Source organism: Homo sapiens, chromosome 10 (genome assembly GCF_000001405.40).
Source record: "Homo sapiens chromosome 10, GRCh38.p14 Primary Assembly".
Lineage (NCBI taxonomy): Eukaryota > Metazoa > Chordata > Mammalia > Primates > Hominidae > Homo > Homo sapiens.
The window spans coordinates 64,120,413-64,138,679 of NC_000010.11; the positions used below are offsets into that span (position 1 = coordinate 64,120,413).

At 38.4% G+C, this 18,267-nt stretch overlaps 1 long non-coding RNA gene across 2 annotated transcripts in view, besides 1 other annotated feature; it reads left to right on the forward strand.

Annotated features, from left to right (window-relative positions):
* LOC124902439 (uncharacterized) overlaps positions 1-18,267 on the forward strand; it is an 820,351-nt gene that overhangs the window by 247,824 nt on the left and 554,260 nt on the right. The window lies entirely within an intron of this gene.
* Positions 146-738: an enhancer, noted in NCBI's record as "NANOG-H3K27ac-H3K4me1 hESC enhancer chr10:65880319-65880911 (GRCh37/hg19 assembly coordinates)". NCBI's record gives its function as "activates a minimal SCP1, AML or CMV promoter by ChIP-STARR-seq in naive H9 embryonic stem cells {active_cell/tissue: H9 hESC(naive)}" and the evidence as "EXISTENCE:reporter gene assay evidence [ECO:0000049][PMID:30033119]".

Genomic DNA, 18,267 nt, shown 5'->3' on the forward strand with positions numbered 1-18,267 from the left:
AGTGGGCGCAGGTCAGTGGGTGCGCGCACCATGCGCAAGCCAAAGCAGGGCGAGGCATTGCCTCACTCGGGAAGCACAGGGGGTCAGGGAGTTCCCTTTCCTAGTAAAAGAAAGGGGTGACAGAGGGCACCTGGGAGATCGGGTCACTCCCACCCGAATACTGCGCTTTTCCGAAGGGCTTATAAAAACGGTGCACCAAGAGATTGTGTCCCGCACCTGGCTCGGAGGGTCCTACGTCCACGGAGTCTCGCTGATTGCTAGCACAGCAGTCTGAGATCAAACTGCAAGGCGGCAGCGAGGCTGGGGGAGGGGCGCCCGCCATTGCCCAGGCTTGCTTAGGTAAACAAAGCAGCCAGGAAGCTGGAACTGGGTGGAGCCCAGCACAGCCCAAGGAGGCCTGCCTGCTTCTGTAGGCTCCACCTCTGGGGGCAGGGCACAGACAAACAAAAAGACAGCAGTAACCTCTGCAGACTTAAGTGTCCCTGTCTGACAGCTTTGAAGAGAGCAGTGGTTCTCCCAGCACGCAGCTGGAGATCTGAGGATGGGCAGACTGCCTCCTCAAGTGGGTCCCTGACCCCTGACCCCTGAGCAGCCTAACTGGGAGGCACCCCCTAGCAGGGGCAGACTGACACCTCACACGGCCAGGTATTCCAACAGACCTGCAGCTGAGGGTCCTGTCTGTTAGAAGGAAAACTAACAAACAGAAAGGACATCCACACCAAAAACCCATCTGTACATCACCATCATCAAAGACCAAAAGTAGATAAAACCACAAAGATGGGGAAAATACAGAGCAGAAAAACTGGAAACTCTGAAAAGCAGAGCGCCTCTCCTCCTCCAAAGGAATGCAGTTCCTCACCAGCAATGGAACAAACCTGGACGGAGAATGACTTTGACGAGCTGAGAGAAGAAGGCTTCAGAGGATCAAATTACTCTGAGCTACGGGAGGACATTCAAACCAAAGGCAAAGAAGTTGAAAACTTTGAAAAAGATTTAGAAGAATGTATAACTAGAATAACCAATACAGAGAAGTGCTTAAAGGAGCGGATGGAGCTGAAAACCAAGGCTCGAGAACTACGTGAAGAATGCAGAAGCCTCAGGAGCCGATGTGATCAACTGGAAGAAAGGGTATCAGCGATGGAAGATGAAATGAATGAAATGAAGCGAGAAGGGAAGTTTAGAGAAAAAAGAATAAAAAGAAACGAGCAAAGCTTCTAAGAAATATGGCACTATGTGAAAAGACCAAATCTACGTCTGATTGGCGTACCTGAAAGTGACGGGGAGAATGGAACCAAGTTGGAAAACACTCTGCAGGATATTATCCAGGAGAACTTCCCCAATCTAGCAAGGCAGGCCAACGTTCAGATTCAGGAAATACAGAGAATGCCACAAAGATACTCCTCGAGAAGAGCAACTCCAAGACACATAATTGTCAGATTCACCAAAGTTGAAATGAAGGAAAAAATGTTAAGGGCAGCCAGAGAGAAAGGTTGGCTCACCCCCAAAGGGAAGCCCATCAGACTAACAGCAGATCTCTCGGCAGAAACTCTACAAGCCAGAAGAGAGTGGGGGCCAATATTCAACATTCTAAAAGAAAAGAATTTTCAACCCAGAATTTCATATCCAGCCAAACTAAGCTTCATAAGTGAAGGAGAAATAAAATACTTTACAGACAAGCAAATGCTGAGAGATTTTGTCACCACCAGGCCTGCCCTAAAAGAGCTCCTGAAGGCAGCGCTAAACATGGAAAGGAAAAACTGGTACCAGCCACTGCAAAATCATGCCAAAATTTAAAGACCATCGAGACTAGGTAGAAACTGCATCAACTAACGAGCAAAATAACCAGCTAACATCATCATGACAGGATCAAATTCACACATAACAATATTAACTTTAAATGTAAATGGACTAAATGCTCCAATTAAAAGACACAGACTGGCAAATTGGATAAAGAGTCAAGACCCATCAGTGTGCTGTATTCAGGAAACCCATCTCACGGGCAGAGACACACATAGGCTCAAAATAAAGGGATGGAGGAAGATCTACCAAGCAAATGGAAAACAAAAAAAGGCAGGGGTTGCAATCCTAGTCTCTGATAAAACAGACTTTAAACCAACAAAGATCAAAAGAGACAAAGAAGGCCATTACATAATAGTAAAGGGATCAATTCAACAAGAAGAGCTAACTATCCTAAATATATATGCACCCAATACAGGAGCACCTAGATTCATAAAGCAAGTCCTGAGTGACCTACAAAGAGACTTAGACTCCCACACATTAATAATGGGAGACTTTAACAACCCACTGTCAACATTAGACTGATCAACGAGACAGAAAGTCAACAAGGATACCCAGGAATTGAACTCAGCTCTGCACCAAGCAGACCTAATAGACATCTACAGAACTCTCCACCCCAAATCAACAGAATATACATTTTTTTTCAGCACCACACCACACCTATTCCAAAATTTACCACATAGTTGGAAGTAAAGCTCTCCTCAGCAAATGTAAAAGAACAGAAATTATAACAAACTGTCTCTCAGACCACAGTGCAATCAAACTAGAACTGAGGATTAAGAATCTCACTCAAAACTGCTCAACTACATGGAAACTGAACAACCTGCTCCTGAATGACTACTGGGTAGATAACGAAATGAAGGCAGAAATAAAGATGTTCTTTGAAACCAGCAAGAACAAAGACACAACATATCAGAATCTCTGGGACGCATTCAAAGCAGTGTGTAGAGGGAAATTTATAGCACTAAATGCCCACAAGAGAAAGCAGGAAAGATCCAAAATTGACACCGTAACATCACAATTAAAAGAACTAGAAAAGCAAGAGCAAACACATTCAAAAGCTAGCAGAAGGCAAGAAATAACTAAAATCAGAGAAGAAATGAAAGAAATAGAGACACAAAAAACCCTTCAAAAAATTAATGAATCCAGGAGCTGGTTTTTTGAAAGGATCAACAAAATAGATAGACCACTAGCAAGACTAATAAAGAAAAAAAGAGAGAAGAATCAAATAGACGCCATAAAAAATGATAAAGGGGATATCACCACCGATCCCACAGAAATACAAATTACCATCAGAGAATACTACAAACATCTCTATGCAAATAAACTAGAAAATCTAGAAGAAATGGATAAATTCCTCGACACATACACTCTCCCAAGACTAAACCAGGAAGAAGTTGAATCTCTGAATAGACCAATAACAGGATCTGAAATTGTGGCAATAATCAATAGCTTACCAACCAAAAAGAGTCCAGGACCAGATGGATTCACAGCCGAATTCTACCAGAGGTACAAGGAGGAACTGGTACCATTCCTTCTGAAACTATTCCAATCAATAGAAAAAGAGGGAATCCTCCCTAACTCATTTTATGAGGCCAGCATCATCCTGATACCAAAGCTGGGCAGAGACACAACCAAAAAAGAGAATTTTAGACCAATATCCTTGATGAACATTGATGCAAAAATCCTCAATAAAATACTGGCAAACCGAATCCAGCAGTACATCAAAAAGCTTATTCACCATGATCAAGTGGGCTTCATCCCTGGGATGCAAGGCTGGTTCAACATACGCAAATCAATAAATGTAATCCAGCATATAAACAGAACCAAAGACAAAAACCACATGATTATCTCAATAGATGTAGAAAAGGCCTTTGACAAAATTCAACAACCCTTCATGCTAAAAACTCTCAATAAATTAGGTATTGATGGGATGTATTTCAAAATAATAGGAGCTATCTATGACAAACCCACAGCCAATATCATACTGAATGGGCAAAAACTGGAAACCTTCCCTTTGAAAACTGGCACGAGACAGGGATGCCCTCTCTCACCACTCCTGTTCAACATAGTGTTGGAAGTTCTGGCCAGGGCAATCAGGCAGGAGAAGGAAATAAAGGGTATTCAATTAGGAAAAGAGGAAGTCAAATTGTCTCTGTTTGCAGATGACATGATTGTATATCTAGAAAACCCCATTGTCTCAGCCCAAAATCTCCTTAAGCTGATAAGCAACTTCAGCAAAGTCTCAGGATACAAAATCAATGTACAAAAATCACAAGCATTCTTATACACCAACAACAGACAAACAGAGAGCCAAATCATGAGTGAACTCCCATTCACAATTGCTTCAAAGAGAATAAAATAACTAGGAATCCAACTTACAAGGGATGTGAAGCACCTCTTCAAGGAGAACTACAAACCACTGCTCAAGGAAATAAAAGAGGATACAAACAAATGGAAGAACATTCCATGCTCATGGGTAGGAAGAATCAATATCGTGAAAATGGCCATACTGCCCAAGGTAATTTACAGATTCAATGCCATCCCCATCAAGCTACCAATGACTTTCTTCACAGAATTGGAAAAAACGACTTTAAAGTTCATATGGAACCAAAAAAGAGCCTGCATCACCAAGTCAATCCTAAGCCAAATGAACAAAGCTGGAGGCATCACACTACCTGACTTCAAACTATCTTACAAGGCTACAGTAACCAAAACAGCATGGTACTGGTACCAAAATAGAGATATAGATCAATGGAACAGAACAGAGCCCTCAGAAATAACGCCACATATCTACAACTATCTGATATTTGACAAACCTGAGAAAAACAAGCAATGGGGAAAGGATTCCCTATTTAATAAATGGTGCTGGGAAAACTGGCTAGCCATATGTAGAAAGCTGAAACTGGATCCCTTCCTTACACCTTATACAAAAATCAATTCAAGATGGATTAAAGACTTAAACATTCTACCTAAAACCATAAAAACCCTAGAAGAAAACCTAGGCATTACCATTCAGGACATAGACATGGGCAAGGACTTCATGTCTAAAACACCAAAAGCAATGGCAACAAAAGCCAAAATTGACAAATGGGATCTAATTAAACTAAAGAGCTTCTGCACAGCAAAAGAAACTACCATCAGAGTGAACAGGCAACCTACAAAATGGGAGAAAATTTTCACAACCTACTCATCTGACAAAGGGCTAATATCCAGAATCTACAATGAACTCAAACAAATTTACAAGAAAAAAACAAACAACCCCATCAAAAAGTGGGCAAAGGACATAAACAGACACTTCTCAAAAGAAGACATCTATGCAGCCAAAAAACACATGAAAAAATGTTCATCATCACTGGCCATCAGAGAAATGCAAATCAAAACCACAATGAGATACCATCTCACACCAGTTAGAATGGCAATCATTAAAAAGTCAGGAAACAACAGGTGCTGGAGAGGATGTGGAGAAATAGGAACACTTTTACACTGTTGGTGGGACTGTAAACTAGTTCAACCACTGTGGAAGTTAGTGTGGTGATTCCTCAGGGACCTAGAACTGGAAATACCATTTGACCCAGCCATCCCATTACTGGGTATATACCCAAAGGACTATAAACCATGCTGCTATAAGGACACGTGCATGCACATGTTTACTGCAGCATTATTCACAATGGCAAAGACTTGGAACCAACCCAAATGTCCAACAATGATAGACTGGATTAAGAAAATGTGGCACATATACACCATGGAATACTATGCAGCCATAAAAAATGATGAGTTCAGGTCCTTTGTAGGGACATGGGTGAAACTGGAAATCATCATTCTCAGTAAACTATCGCAAGAACAAAAAACCAAACACCGCATATTCTCACTCATAGGTGGGAATTGAACAATGAGAACACATGGACACAAGAAGGGGAACATCACACTCTGGGGACTGTTGTGGGGTGGGGGGAGGGGGGAGGGATAGCATTGGGAGATATACCTAATGCTAGATTACGAGTTAGTGGGTGCAGTGCACCAGCATGGCACATGTATACATATGTAACTAACCTGCACATTGTGCACATGTACCCTAAAACTTAAAGCATAATAATAATAAATAATAAATAAAAATAAAAACAAACAAAAATCTTGAGATGATGTGGTCATCTTAAATCATTTGGTAGGCCCTAAATCAATGGACAGGTGTCTATATATCCTTTTAAGATAGAATCAGAGGGAGATTTGAGACAGACTGAAAAGTGGAAGGCTTAGATACTCAGAGGAGAAGGCAATATGAAGAGGAGGCAAAGATTAGCGTGGTCTACAAGCCAAGGAACACCTGCAGGCACCAGAAGTTGCAAAAGGCTAAGAATAAATTCTCTCTTAGAGCCTCCAGAGAGAGTGAGGCTTGGCTGACACCTTGATTTTTGGACTTGTAGCTTCTAGAACTGTAAGGTAATATGTATCTGTTGTTTTAAGCTACCAAATTCATGGTATTTTGTCACAGCAGCCACAGGAGACTAATACATATGGATGCAGCCTCCTCTTTATGTTTAAGACCCCACCCCTCAGCCCTTAGAGCTCCTATTCAGGCATAATGTCACTTTTCCCACCTTTCAGTTTAATTCTAGGAGTGCCATTTACCTAGAATAAAATCTCCCTGGAATTGAGCAACCTGCTGCCCTTCCACTCTGGATTTATGTTTCCCCTAGTTTCAACAAACAAAAAAATTTTTAGTTTTGTTTTGCATTCAGTTATGTGCTTAAGATAATTTTTGTTATATTTTATCCAGAATTTCTATGGCCATTTGTGATGAGTAACTGATTTTCATTAAATCAGTCTGCTAGTTTTTTGGAATGAGATGTCCCCTTAAATATTTTTTTGAAGGAGACTATTTAGAAGCCCATATGATTATTGTGTGAACATATAACTATTCCTGTATATGTCTTTGACTATTTGATATTTCTTAACTAACTTAAAAGTGACAGTGAAATCTCTTAGTAGTCTTGATTTCCAAAGGAAATGTGACTTGACATTTCCTCTGTGATGTGAAGAAGAAATAGTGTTAGCAAGGTGGTCCATTAATTATGCTGGTATCTTAATTCCACAGCATTCAAGGGCAGTGAAGTGGAAATCATAATCGTTTTGATAAAAGCTTAAATTAGAGTTATGTCACGAAGGTGGGGATGGACTAGCTGAAAAGTCAGCAGGAGAGAAGAGAGGAGTTGCAAAACAAATGAGATGATTTAAAGTGTATAAACTACAGCCAGATCCTTTGACTATTTTCTGCAGAGTTAATTCAAAGGTGCCAAGAAAGTCTCTTTTTATCTGAAAGTTTTTATTCTGGCTTGTTCAGTCAGTGTTTTCATTCTTTTATTTGCAATAAGACCTAAATTACAGTTATACTGGAGAAAAGTTGACTCAATGACAGTATAATTCACACTAAGGTGATTATGACTGTTATCATAGAGCTTCAGGTGCCTGAAATAGGGGTGGGGAAGTGAGCCAATATAAATGCTGCTTTGCAGTGTCCTGATTTCTGTTCTTGGATTTTCCTTAATGTATTCATTATTTATTGCTGAGTGCTAAATTGGCCAAAATGTCATTGCTTAAAACAGCAACACTTTTAAAATCTCATTGTTTCTGTGAGTCATGAATCTGGTCACAGCTTAATTGGGTCTTTGGCTTCATAGTCTCTCTCAGATGGCTGTAATCAAGGTGTTTACCCAGGTTCTGTGGTCTCATGTGAAGGCTCAATAGGGGAAGAATCTGTTTTTAAGCTCACTCACATAGTTGTTGGCAGAATTCAGTTTACTTGAGGGCTGTTGGACTGAAGGCCTCAGTTCCTCACTGGCTCGTTGGCTGGAAGTCACCATTTGTCCCTTGCTAAGTGGCTCTTTTCATCAGGGAAAGTATGTAAGAACAGCTGGAGAGAGAATGTCAGCATGGTGGAAGTCTCAGCCTTTTATAACTTAATCTCAGAAATGACATTACATCACTTTTGCCATATTCTTTTTATTATTAGAAACAAGTCACTAGGTCCAGTCCACATTCAATGAAAGGTGATTACACAGGGTGTGCATATTAGGAAGTAAGAATCACTGGGCACCGTTTTAGAACACTGACTACTATGAATATTGAGTGGTACTCTCTTAGAGAGCAACAACATTGTCTAATTCATCTTTGTGTTGTCACAGAACCCGGGCATATTAAAATATCCATAATAGAAAAAAATGGCTGATTATTGCCTTAATGCTATCTTTTTTTATACTGAGACTAGTTCATTCATACCTCACTGGACACCATTTCTCAGTGTCCTTTGCTAATTTCTCCTCCTATTTTGGATCTCTATAAATTGGAATGTCCTTGGGCATAGGATTCTGATCTCTACTTCTCACTGCTTTGATAATCTCATCTACTTTTAGGCACTAAATACCATTAATGACTCCCAGATAGATATATCCTGCCCTGACTTTGCATCTGGACCACAAAACTTATTCATTTACTTTTTTCAGTTCTTTGCTTAATATCTCTTATTGGAAAGGTCTTCCATGATCACAATGTCCAAAACAAAATAACACCTCTACCCTGATACTGTCACTCTCTTTCTCCTTAACCTTTATTTTTCTTCAAGGTGCTTTTCATTGGTATCTATCTATCTATCTATCTATCTATCTATCTATCTATCTATCCATCCACCTATCTACCTACCTACCTACCTACCTACCTATCTACCTACCTACCTATTCACTAGAAATAAGCTCCATGAGAGTTAGGACATTGCTCACCATTATATCCTCACTGCTTAAAATATTGTCTAGCACAAAGTAGGCTCTCAATAAATATTTATTGAATGAATGAATGGTAAAATATTGTAGCTATTGTTGGTTGTCTTTTCAGGTAATAATATAAACTTCTTATCTAATTGTAGACAGAGTGAGTAAAAGGGCATACAGGCATCTATTGGAGGTACAGGATAGCTGGGATAAAGAGGGAAAGGAACAGGATTGAGAATTCTATGGACAGAAGGAAAAGCTGTTGGCTTTTGTAGTTGAGATTCTTGGTTGTCATCTACTGCAGAAACTGAGTTTGCAGACAAGAGCTACTTTCTCCTGGGCTGGAGTTGCAGGACAACTGTAGGGAATGGAGACACTGACTAGAGGTGGAAGCAGTTTGGAATAAAGTTAAAATTGCTCACAACCACGTATCCAGAAGTGGATCTGGGCCAGGACACATTTGAATTTAGGAATGTAGGAAATGAGTATCTGGAACTCAGAACTTTCCAAATAAGACTTGTTTTCTTCAAAGCTGGATAGATATGGTCTCTATATATCTGTTTACCTATGATATTGTGTTTGCAGAGTCTGCAATATGTATATAATTACCACTGCTTTCTGAAACCTGAATCTCCATTTCTCATACAGCACTTACCACACTTTACATTACATTACACTGATATACCATATTTTATATATATATATATAGCTAATGCAATAACTAAACTATTTCCTGAATGCTTCTGATTTAAATTCCCTTATTGACAAATCAGTTTCTCTCTTCTTATCCCATCCATTATTAAGTTCCCAAGGAAAGGAAAGGAAAATTACGTCTTGGGAAAAAGGGGAATATAATGTTAAAAATGTCCTATCAGACAGAATGATGGAAGAAAAGCTAGCTTATTTCATCCTGGTCTTGGAAGAAGTGCAAAGACATTAGGGATGGGGCAGTGAGGTCAGATATAGGTCCTGATTTATCTTTTTCAGGTTGGAACCCTTAGGTGTAAGGGGCCTGGTGGGGAGGCTAGAAGCATCCAAAAGGGATTTATGCAATGGGAATGAGCTATTGGCACACTTCCCAGCTTCAGGGAAGCCTGTTACTGGCCATGTTCAACACGCCTTGGAGGTGGCAGAACACCACTGGCAGGGGTACGGGCTATATAGATGAGCCCAAGCTGAGGCTCCTGGATCCCTGCAGCTTGTGAAGAGCATGCAAGGGAACAAAAAGCCCACACGCCCTGCTTAGAGAGTTTCTTGTTTCAGCAAGAAATGCTTGCTGAAACAGCAGAGGCCTAGAGTTGGAACAAAGAGGCTATAGGTGGGCACATTTCATGGCTAGAGGAAAAGGATAGGAACAAGGACTCTACAGGTGAATAGGTGCCACTACAATGTGCAGATGGTCAGAAGGGTCTAATTATGTCTCAGTGATCCAGGAGGCAGGGTAGACCAGTACTCTGAAACAGAGACTAGCAATGATCTGAAGGACATGGGAAAAATCTGAGGCCACCACCTCTCATCTGCCTCCCTGAAGACACATGAGCCCCACACCCTGTACTATGTAGGGGAGGAGAAGTGCACCTAATATTGAAGCATTTGCTTGAAAGAGAACAAGTCATCTAAAGAGACAAATTAAACCTGAAGAGATCCATACACTCTAAATTATCAAGTTTATTGGGTTTTTTTTTCATGTTATCCAGATGGGTGGGAGACTTGTGGGAGTCATCAATTCAGTCAGAGAAAGTAAAGAATCTCTATTGTCTTTGGATATCTGAGTGTAATTTGTGTTACGTGTGTAATCATGCTTACTTATGAATATGTCTTATCTCCTAGTTCCTTCTTGTAGCATCCCACCTCTCAGAACAGAAGCTCCTGAGGGTAATAAAGGTAGAATATGGCTAGCACACTTTTCTGTATGTACCTGAAGCATTTTACATTAACCATCTCATTCAATCATCCCACTGTGTGATGTGGTTGTTTTCTGATTTCACAGACCAAGACATGAGGCTAGGAGGGTGAAGTAACTTTCTGAGTCACACAGATAATCATTTTCAGAGCCAGAATTAAAATCAAGATTCTGTCAAATTCAAGATATTCTTGCTCATTTTTGCATCTTCTCTCATGTCTGTACCATTTTTGCATTTTGCACCCTGCCTGTAGGTAGAGGACATTATGTTCAACTGGAAATAAGTTGGTAGCAACAAAGTGCTATAAGCAAGGAAGAGGAGAATGTAGAAGAATTCCAAGGGGTCTCATATTCTTCTGTGATATCAGTGAAGCAGAAGTGAAGAGGTACAAGTCCTCAGATAACATTCTGTAAATTGTGTCTGAACAAACTCTGCCTCCTGCCATCTGACCTTTTCTCACTTCCCATCAGCCAGTCAGGGTGTGTGGTCCTGAGTCTATTTAAATGCCCAGTGGCTAAGAAGTCATATTAACATGACAACTTTTTTTTATTCCTTTCAAGTAAAGCATTAGCACATATCCTGATGGCTCTAGAGTTCAGAACAAAGATATTTGATCTGTGTGAGCTGTAATATCGTCCTGGCAAATCGCAGAGCAAGGGAGAACCTATGATATTTTGTCGATTATTACCAAATGCCAAAATGGGAAGAGAGGATCATTTCTAATAAAAGAATTGACTGTGCAATTTATATCAAGGCACATCCAATTAATACCTAATCCTTAAATGTATGTAATTGGATTTACATATTCACATTTTTGCAATTAGGAGTTGGTATTTAAATGGCATGCCTCCCATTTCCCATTTTCTTTATCACAAAACCCTAGAGGGGCTTTTTGTTGTAGAATTACAGAATCAAGGCAAATACCTTAGCCTGATAACCTCTAATCATGTGAAAAGAAAGGCTTTAGTTCACACAGACCTGTTAGAAGTGTAGAAATATTCATGGTTGATTTAAATGATATTCAGCACTGACATTCACAATTTATGTTTCACAATGCTCATTTATAATTGCAATCGGTTTCCTTTTAATTTATAATGTCGGAAATACTTAGGCATAAAGGTTAAGTTCTTCTCTTTAGAATCTTAGGAGTGAATAAAATTCTTCCTTTAAAGCACTTTATGATGGAGAGTGCTGTAACTGTTTGACCACCAAGATACCATTAAGTAAATTACAGATACCTGGGTATCATTTAGTTCAGTGAAGCAGAAATTTACCCTAGGTGTCTGAAAGAACTGAAGTTTGACTGCTAATTTATTCAAACTGCAGGTGATGTGCTCTGTGGTAAGATATTCCAGAAATAGGTCAAACAAATTTGTAGTAATGCCATGTTAATAAGCTCATAATGAAGGATTTAGATTGATACTGTACACTTTCACCCTTGAAAAAGCATGCGTGATTCAGATTATACAACAAGCCACTGAGTTGGAGAGCATCCTTGGTTGAATCTCCCTCTAAGGATCACCTGAATGCTTAGAGATTGAGGAAGACTTACCCAGAAATTAAAACATACATATTGTAAGAGGCAAGATTCTAAAAGAGTACCAATATCTCATACTGGAGAGCACGAGGGAATGTGAACAATCTCTTACAGTTGGGGACTATGTATCAAAAGCCTTAAGAAGGTGCTTTCTCTTTGACACAGAACATTCCACTTAGAGAAAATTATCAGAAGCAATTATCTATTATTGCTTCCTTCTATAATTTATAGATTTATAATCTATAAATTAAAGATAATTTTACTAGACTATTTATAGCAGTCAGCAAACTGTCCAAAATCCCCAGTAATAGAGGATTTATTAAATATGTTAAATTAGAAAAATGGAATCCATGTAGTAACGGAAAATGATGATGTAGCCACATAAAATAGATTCATAAGATACTTTTAATTGAAAATCATTTAAATAGTGTATACAATGGTACATGTCACATTTGTAGAATACATATACTTACATATAGATGGATAGATAGATAGTCCAGGATGGTAAACTGAAGATTGACAGTGGCTGTCATTTTGGGGAGATAGGAGTATTTGTGATTTTCCCCTTTATTTTATAATTTGTCTATATAAACAACCCTTATGAAGGTAAACTATGAAATGGACATGGTATTATATCATAGCAAATCTTATGTTATGTGAGAAGGATGTGCTATTTTCTACAATAATTTTTGAGAAGTGCAGCTACATGTTGTTAAAACATATATTGTGTTTTAACAACATGTTTTATATTAAATGTTTTCATGATTTTTCTCTTGCTTTTCTACAGAATAGAGAGCTGGAGTTTTATCTTATTTAAAAAGTTGTTTTGTAGTTGAATAGAATACATTCTCTGTTAATTCTGTACTATTTGTTCTGAATGACAGTTTAATTTTGACAACGATGTATTATTTTGCCACCCCGGTAACAATTATTGATGGATATGATTAGCAGGCTGGCCGTTTTAGTTTTAAAATGCCTCTGAGACATTTCCTTTTGGTTTTATGAAAGGGCATTGCATCAATGACTACAACAAAATTAATAATTCAGAGCTTCAAATGACCAATTCATACAGATAAATCTGTTGGTGTCTTGTTTTGCTGATAATATAAGTTTTCACGAGTTGCTTTTCTATCAACTGACAAAAATGCTAATCGTTTTAGTATCTATATGGTACAACCTTACTTATTTTATTCAGATGATGTAAAATCAATTTAATTATGCCCCTCAGAAGAATTCTGAAAATGGTATTTGTTCAGTATATGCTAATGCAAAACATTTGAATTTGAATTCTAACTTACTTTTAAACGCAGTATTCTATTATAGAAGACCTTGATTTTTCTCTTACTTTTTCTGTAGAAAAGAAAGCTGGAGTTTTATCTTATTTAAAGAGTTGTTTTGTGGTTGAAATACATGAGATCGTTTCACTGGTTTGAATTGAAAAAATTTTGCTTTTCTTCTAGAGAACAAAGGTAGTCTTACTGGTATCTTCCCCAACCTAAAAACATATCATTCACTTTAAAACTGCTGTTCAGCTGAGTAACAGCGACCTTGCCTTTAGGTTATGTTTTCTTTCTTGCTAAAGTGAGAAATGCTGCTAATTGAATCTAACCTGAAAACCAGCACTTAGAATCTGTACTTTAATTACTGACACCACAGTGTAGGGTACCAACCTGGCTTGGCCAATTTTATTACTTGTTCTGTCAAGTTCTGTAGAAGCCACAGAAGAATGAATAATCTCTTTTTCTATCTTTGAATGAGGTGCCAAAATAATACACTCTAGAAATACCAGAAGGAAGATACAAATATATTTTATTTATTTACAGCATATACTCCAACAATAAGCAAGAATGGACTGGAGGCAGCTTATGATAAAAATACAGATATAAAGTTTACTCAGGACAGTAAAGAATGATCAAGAGAAAATCAGAAGCCATAAGGAAGAAAGGTAGAACAAAGACTGAGATAATTCCCTAAATTAAATATTGTATTTGTCTGTATCTTTCTAACATTCAATATCAAAAAAAAAAAAAAGCATGACAAGTTCACGATCAAAGAGAAAGATTGTGAATTTTCAGAAGACAGAAACTTTTTCTTGTAGCTAAATCTAGGAAACATTTATAGATTGTGGATCCATATTTAAAGGAGTTTGAATAGTATAGGTGGCCCAATTCAAATGCTACCTTCTTCATGAAGTCTTTTCATTCCTCTCTTCTCTTTTTCCAGTTATACTTGTTTTCTTTTTCTCCTTTGTTTTCCTATGGCACTTTGTTGGTAGCAGTCTTAAAGCATTTATAACATATTACCTTATTGTTATTTGTGATTGCATTTTGTCATCCTATTAGACTGTGATTTATCCTTTTATCCCCTGCAGTGCCTTTGTTCATAAAAGTAACATTTTTATGTGCTTTTATCACATGGCAGGCATGGGGCAACGCTTTTATGTACTTTGCTTTATTTTATCCCCACAATCCCCTCTGAGGCCATAATCTCCACAATACTGTTATTGTCTTTGTTTTACCAATAAGCAAACTATAGTTTGAAGATACAGGAACTAATATGCCCCAAATGTCACATCTGGTAACTGGCAGATTAGAACCCATGTCTGATTGATTACAAAGGGATTGTTTTTAACCACTATGTCCAATTTTGGGCAATGTTCTGCCAGTGTTTTTTTAAATTTAAATTTTTGTTTTTATATATTTTTTAACAGAAATATTCTGTCGAAATATTCTGAATGTAGATTAAAAAATTATATTTTTCCTTCCTGACCCTCAAATTAAGGGATTGAGGGAGGCGTTTGTATGAAGTACTTTGGATGGAGGGGTTTGGATGAAGAAGTCAGGATGGCAACCCATCCTGTATTAACCCCATACATCCTGGTTTTTGGAACTCGTTAGAAAGCCTTGAAATGCAGAAATCAGGGTCATTCTTTCATATTAGTCAGGTTATTGTTTGCTTCAGTAACAAACAACCCTGAAATCTTACTGATTACAACAAAGGTTTACTTCATGCTCATTTTGAATGTCTGTCGCAAGTCGGCTGTGATTCTGCTTATTGTTGTCATCATTCTTCTACTCTTGCTGATAGGGAAGCCCTGTTTGGGTTATTGACAGCCCATTGCCAAGGGAAATAAGACATGGCAAACATGAGCTGGCTCTAAAAGTTCTTACTTGGAATTGACATGTATCACTTCTGCCTACATTTCACTGGCCCATGAAGGTCATGTTGACATTGTTGGGTTCAACAAAGTGGAGATGTACAAACTTCCTGCAAGAGGGGGCAACATAAATCAATTAATGTCAAATTTAATGTCACCAGAACAAGGATGCATTCCAAAAGGGAGGTAGATTCCAGGGAGGGGTGGCAAGTATTTTTCACAATCCACCACATTTTTCATTGCCTGGCTATGAAACATCTAGTTATTCTAGCTTAAGGTTTTGTTACAAATAGTGACAAAGCCATGACCATTCTGACTGGGAGAAGGTAGGACCTAAAATAAAGTAATAAATGTTAGTTACACTAATGAGGGTGAAAGAATAAGCTGAGGTCATTTTTTATTATTTCTCCATGGAGAAACAATGTACAAGGTCTGTACATTGGAGTAAGTCAGACTCGGGTTCAAATCCCAACTTTACCTTAGACTTACCTGTGAGACCTTGGGCAAGTCTCTGAGCCTATTTTCTCAGATAATTGCAACTGCCCTTAATAACTAGCAACAATTAATATTACAATATTTTTCCCAATAAATAATTATCACACCTCTTGTTATAATTTAGCTTATTTCTTTGTGCTCAGTACTCGGATATATCACATGGTAGCTTTTTACATATTTAGAAAGTGTTATTAAGTCCTTACCTCCTGCCCTTACCTTCCCAGGTTTTTCAAACCATAACACATTAACCTGTTTTCCTTCACAGACCATGAACCCTAATTATTATACTCACTTACCTGTACATTTCTTATTCTTTCAACAAGTAGACCAAAGGCAAGCCTAACATACCTAGGCAGATATGAGGAATATTAAATACAGTAGGGAGATTGCCTTCTTGCTCTGAGGCTGATATGTAAGTGTATCAGATTTCATTAACCATATTGTGCTGCTGAATTATTATTCTTTCAATGTGCCGGTTAACTCAAGGTGGGAGGGAGCAAAAGTGAACAGAGCAGCCAAGAGCTAGAAATTACCTCCTTATTGGCAATCTCCTTCTCCCCAGGGCAGGAGTCCTCTGTGCCATTTATTCTGTGTTGAAACCAATTTGCTTCTTGTTCCCCCTTCAAGAAGCAACAAAGGCCTAAAACAGCGGCTATTGCCTGATAACCTGGAGATTTGCCTGTCTTGCTTGGTAAAATCTCCTCTTTGTAGATTATTGATGCATTTCATAACGAGAGTCACACATTGACTTTTCAGTGAGATAGATGTTATCTAGAACCAGTTCTGCTTTGATTGAAACAACCTAATTCCAATGGATAAGAAATGGTATATCTTAATGCCAGTGGATTATACATTGTAATAAGGAACATTTGTTTATTCTGATATACATCACTATGTTTATTGGGCAGATGGAAAAAATAATGCACCTGGAAGCAGACCATTTCTTTTATTGGCTGAATAAATGAATGAGATTGTGCTTCTGGGCTTGCTTTGATATCTGGGGTCACTAGGCTTACAATTTAAGATTGGGAGGGGGAGGTGGGAGGGACAAATTAGCTCAAAGATTTTGCAGACCAGTGAGCTAGGGAAATTGGGCAAAACTAAAAATCTAAGTGGAAAAGAACAACAAGGAACCATCCCATGTCTGACTGAGCATCAGATATAGGCAAGGTGATGTTTTAGTGTCCATCTTTTATGTGGATTTTCTGTCTATAGAGAGTGGGAATAAGGAATTCCCTCTGGGGAAGCAGGAGCAGTTGGTAACTTTGGTTTATGAATTGTCTTTGGGCTGGTTTCTGGAAGCCACAGAATTGGCAAATTCTACTGTTTACATGGCAGGCACTAAAATTGCCTTTTCAAGAAGACCCCATTGGTAAGATGCTCCTTATCTCTTAGAAAGGTTTCAACTGTTTGAGGCTTCTTAGTAGTTACCAAAGTGATCATTGGGTAGTGGGGAAACCTTTGACAAGTTTTCTAAAAGGCTGCAAAGTGTGAATGAAAATAGACACACTTAATGTTTGTGAGCTAATTGATTTAGTTGGTTTAACTAGTAGTTCCAAGCTCAGCTGAAATTTGAAGCTTTAAAAAAATTCGGTTACCAAGACCCCATCTGGGACCCAAAGAATCAGAAATTCTGGGACTGAAATGAGTTGAAATTTGTATTTAAAAACTTCCTGGGTAATGCTGACATAGAATTTTTATAGAAAGTTTGGGAACCACTGGGTTAGAGCATGTGGCTACTGAAGTTTGCTCTGCTTACTGATCACTTTATTATGCATAGAGAAAAAACCAGCAAATCAGCATATGATACTCCAATGAAATGGTTTTCTATGTATGGATGAACACCAGTTACAACTAAAAGCAAAAGCACTCTAAAAGCAAATAGATAGTTTTTGATCTTTGATTTATATTGGGGAAAATAATTATTTGTGAGCAGGGCATTTTGGTTTAGTTGGAAATATTATTGAATGTCAGTGATCTGCCAGGCACTGTGCTAGTTTCTGTGGCATATAAACGTAACATTTGATTTTTCTTTTTTTATAGAGTTTACCATTCAGTGAGTATTTTGAGAAGGTCTAATTATGCTTTTGGAATATTATGAAGGTGGTGAGGTGATGAAGTCAAGACCAATTCTCCTTGCATAGAATAGGAAAAATTGCCTTATTTGGGTGAGTGAAAGGAAAAGGGATCAAAAATACATTTGCTAACATACTTATGGTAGACAATGTTGATACCCTAAGCCAGGACCTACTCATCCCTTCCCCTTTGTCATCCTCCCATTACAGGGCCTGGAGAGGTGGATCCCAGTATCCTTTGCTGCTGAATGTAGCCATGTGACCCAGTTCCAGCCAGAGAGAATTAAAGATAACTTTTCTGAAAGTTTCTGGGAAAGAGCTTTCTTTTCTAGGTCAGAAATAAGTACATTAATTGCCCTCCACTCCCACTGCCTCATGCTTCTTACCTTTGGGGATATGCTACTTAGAGGTGGTGTGGCTATCTTGCTGCCATGAGAAAATATTAAGAGAACACCAGAATCACCAACTCAGACTTGACACTTAGGTCACTGAATGGGGGGTCCCAAATTGCCTACTTTCTCTGGAAGAAAAATGAATCTTC